General features: G+C 45.0%; 1 annotated feature.

The window, feature by feature from the left end:
• Positions 2,362-2,656: an enhancer, noted in NCBI's record as "tiled region #9439; HepG2 Activating non-DNase unmatched - State 13:Ctcf, and K562 Activating DNase unmatched - State 12:CtcfO". NCBI's record gives its function as "activates a minimal TATA promoter and a strong SV40 promoter by Sharpr-MPRA in HepG2 and K562 cells {active_cell/tissue: HepG2 | K562}" and the evidence as "EXISTENCE:reporter gene assay evidence [ECO:0000049][PMID:27701403]".

Here is a 4,449-nt window from a genome sequence, read left to right on the forward strand (position 1 = left end):
CAGGGCTGCAGGCAGAGCTGCCTGCCAGTCCAGCACCATGCGCCCACACTCCTCAGCCCTTGGGTGGTTGATGGGACTGGGTGCCACAGAGCAGGGGGCGGCACCCATCATGGAGGCTCGGGCCACACGGGAGCCCACGGCGGGGGTGGGGGCACTCAGGCATGGCCAGCTGCAGGTCCTGAGCCCTGCCCTGTGGGGAGGTGGCTGAGGCCCGGCGAGAATTCAAGCATGGCACGGGTGGATCAGCAGTGCTGGTGGACCTGGAGCACCCTCTGCAACTGCTGGCCTGGGTGCTAAGCCCCTCACTGCCCAGGGCCCGCGGCACTGGCCGGCTGCTTAACATGCAGGGCCCACCAAGCCTGCGCCCACCTGAAACTTGCACTGGCCCGCGAGGGCCACGTGCAGCCTGGGTTCCGCCTGCACCTCTCCCTCCATACCTCCCCTTAAGCAGAGGGAGCTGGCTCCAGCCTCGGCCAGCCCAGAGAGGGGATCCCACAGTGCAGCAGTGGGCTGAAGGGCTCCTCAAGTGCGGCCAGAGTGGACACTGAGTCTGAGGAGGTGCCGAGAGTGAGCAAGGGCTGCTAGCAGGTTGTCACCGCTCAGTAGGAGAGGGGAGAGGTGGGCAAAGTAGGAGGGGGAGGAGAGGGGAGGGGAGGGGAGATTATCTTTACCCATCTTTTGGCTCTGGCTAGTCTTCCCTGTACAGTAAAAGTTCTCGAAAGAGTTCTGTGTACTCACTATATTCAATCTTTTCTTTCCCTTCTCTCTACTTCTCTCTAACCAAGTATCTCCTCTGTTATACCACGAATACTTCTCTTGTTAAAGCCACCAAAGACCTCCACATGAACAATTCTGAGACCCCCATTTTAGCTGACCTATTGGCAGCAGTTGATACTGTTGGTCAGTCTTTCTGCTTTAAAACAAATTCTTCACTTGGTTTCTGGGCCATTGCATTCTCCTGGTTTCCCTTTTTCCTCTCTGGATATTTTCCCTAAGTCTTCTTAGCTACCTTACCATTATTTCCCCAATCTTCACATTTGGAGTATCTGACAACTAAGTTTTTCCACATTTTTGCTTTTCTATCTTCTGATTTCAAAGCAATAAATACCATCTATATGCTGATCACTACCAAATTGATGTCTCCATTAATGACCTCTCCTTTGAATACCAGTCTGGTATATCCAACTGTCTATTAGATATTTCTACTTGTATGCCTCTTAGACATCTCAAAGTTTACATACATAAAACTGAACTTTCACCAAAATTTGTTCATCCCACAATCTCCTCATTTCAGTATCAGGCCAAACACCTTGTAGTCATCCTGAACATCTCACTTTCTCTTATGTCATACACAGTCCACTAGCAAATCTTGCTAGCTGTAATTTCAAGATGTATACAGAATCCAACTAATTCTCACAGCTTCCTCCACTGTCACCCTGGTTCATGCCACTGTGACATCTGCTTGGATTGCTGTAACAGCCTCCTGACTAGAATTCCTGCATATGCTCTTACCTGTCTTCAGTCTCTTGTCAAAACATCAGCCAGGGTGATTCCTCTGTTCAGAACCCTCAAATGACTTCCCATCTTGCTCAAAGTAAAATCTAAAGTCATCACAAAGACCTTATAGCCCTATGAAATCTGTTGCCTCTTTCTTACCTGGCTTCACCTCACCTACTATACTCACCCTTCCTTACACTGGCCCGCTTGCTACCATTCCTCAGAGACACCAGGCACACTCCTATCTCAAGGCCTTTGCCCTTGCTGGTGGTCACTCTTTCTAAAATGTTCTTCCCACAGAAATTTGCACAGCTTGCTTCCTTGCTTCAGATCTTTACTCAAATGCCATCTCCTTAGTGAGGACTTCCTGACCACTCTATCAGAAACTTGCAGTCATACACACAATTTCTATCTCCCTCCCCTACTTCAGTTTTCTCCTTGGTGCTTTGTCACTATCTAATACACTGTATATTTTTATATTTCTCATATTTAAGGTCTGTCTCCCCCATTAGAATACTGAGTCAAGGGAGCTTTATCTACTTTGTTCACTGCTCTATCTCCAGCACTAAGAATAATAATGACACTCAGGAAATACTGTGGAAGGTAGATATGTTACAATTGGCAGTTAGTCACACACAAGCAGGGCAGAAGACCCTCCCCCCAACCCCCACCAGGAATGTCAGGTGACCATCAGGTAATGGTCAGACAGTTGGGTTAACTGTCTCTCTCAAATAATAATTGGTCACAACCAGCACCAGAGAAAGCCAGTCTCCCAACAGCTAGAAACACCTGAAACTGATGATCAGCAGCTTCCCAATAAGATTTCAGGATTTGGGCGAGTGGGCTCAAACATGCACAATAAGATGCAAAATGGTGGAGTTTAACTGTTACATGACCTTCTTCTCGGAACACTTGACTGGTAAGGGAAAAATGCCTGAAGTGAGCATGTGCAACATTTCAGTAAGCACACTGCACATGTGCCAGCAGACCACTGCTCAGGCAGACAGCGCACCCCAGTGGAAGAATTGGGGGAGAAGGGATGCAACCCCCAGGAAGCATGCCAACATGTAAGATCCCAAGTCAAAGGTCAAACCATGCACTTGATCTTTCATGTCACTCGCTTAGCCCTCTTCCAAGTGTACTTTACTTCTTTTTCTTCCTGCTCTAAAGCTTTTTAATAAACTTTCACTCCTGCTCTAAAAATTGCCTCAGTCTCTCACTCTGCCTTATTCCCCTCAGTCAAATTCTTTATTCTGAGGAAGCAAGAACTGAGGTTGCTGCAGACCTATACAGATACACCGCTGCTAACAGATGGAAGGAGGGAAGAAGGGAAGGAAGGAAGGACTGCAAGAATGGTTACAACATTAGTTTCCCCTCTCAATGTAAAAACAGCACTTAGCTAGCTTATGATACTTAAGTTGCATGTGGCATGAGCCTACCCCGTTGCTTCCTGAGTAGATCTAGAGAAATAGAAACCATCAGCCTCTAAAGAAAAAGTGGCATCCTCCTAACTAAATGTACTTTTTAAATGCCCATATGAACCAATTAAAATATGAAGTGATTTCAACTTCCAAAGCTTTTTTCTTAGACAACAAGCTAGGAACAGAGGCCAATGCCCAAGCTGCCTGCAACTTCACACCATGTTAAGTGCAATGCTGGCTCTAGATAAATGTTAAATTGCCGCTATATGCCTTTCACTTCCTAAAACTAGCTTTTGATTTACCTTATTGTGGGTTTTGAGCATCTGGAATTTTCCCAAGTGAACTAAAATCTTGCCAACGGTAAAACTACTGCTCATTACCTGCGTTAATTTCATCTCTTTCTCTGCATTCAATAACCCCATCTGTTGCAATACCAGCTGTGAGAAGGGAAAGGAGCAAGAGACTGAGCAGACCTAACACAGAGACTCTGTGGGGTAGCAATAACTCCTTCCCAGGAAAAAGGAAATTTATAATTCACAGTGGACATGACTAGATCCACCAAAAATAACTAGGCAAAATGGAATCTTAGGGTTAGTTGCTCAGATTTTTTAAGTTTTTATTTAATCATGTCAAAATATCCAGTATAATTTACTGATAAATTCATTTTTATAAATATATTTGTTATATAATACCCTAAGCAGATCCTGCCTCGAAGTGCATATAACCTAAGTTTCAGTAGGAGGCTGCCACAACCATACACCGTATTTTTGAATTGGGCTTTGCAGAACTGAAAAAAAAAATGGCAGGCATAATATGCCATATGGTAGATGCTCAAGAAATGTTAGTTCCCTCTGCCCCTTTGAAGAAACAACCAAGTCTGGTGCAGCTAGTTTGTACTTTGTGACAAAGTTTTTCAGCAATTCCCTGCTTCACAAGAGTCACATCTGGCCCACTACATTCCTGACCCCTGCCGTCTTCTAAGGAGCTTCCTGAGGCTCTGAAAAGCTGCTGAAACTGAGTGAAGCATGCATTTTCTCCTCTCTAGATTGATAAGCAGGATTGTAGTGATTTAGAATGACACTTCAACAGGCTCAATTAATATCTGATAGACAAGAATATGGTTGGTTTCAAAGTTGCCCCTACCCTAAAGGCAAATGCTGTGCATGTAAAGGAAGTGAGTGTTCTTGCAAGCTTTGCTCCCTTTCCTAAAACAAAGCTTCTCTCTCTCTCTCTCTACCCCTCAGCACCAAGGAAGAATAAGCATTATACAAGAAAAAATTAGCAATGAAAGGAAAGGAGGGAAGAGAGGAAAGTTACAAGCAAAGAGAATGACATGAACAAAGGCACAGATGGATGAAAATCCATACATGTTGAAGAAACCATGAATTGCATTATTACTAGAGTATGAAATATATAAAACAGAGTAGCAGTGGTGAAAATTATGAGATGAGTGGGAGCAGATCGTGGCCCTGTGTGCTGAGATCAGGGATCTATTGCTGCAGATCTCTTGAAAGATTTTAAGCAGGAGGTG

The sequence above is a fragment of the Homo sapiens genome, chromosome 4 (assembly GCF_000001405.40).
Source record: "Homo sapiens chromosome 4, GRCh38.p14 Primary Assembly".
Lineage (NCBI taxonomy): Eukaryota > Metazoa > Chordata > Mammalia > Primates > Hominidae > Homo > Homo sapiens.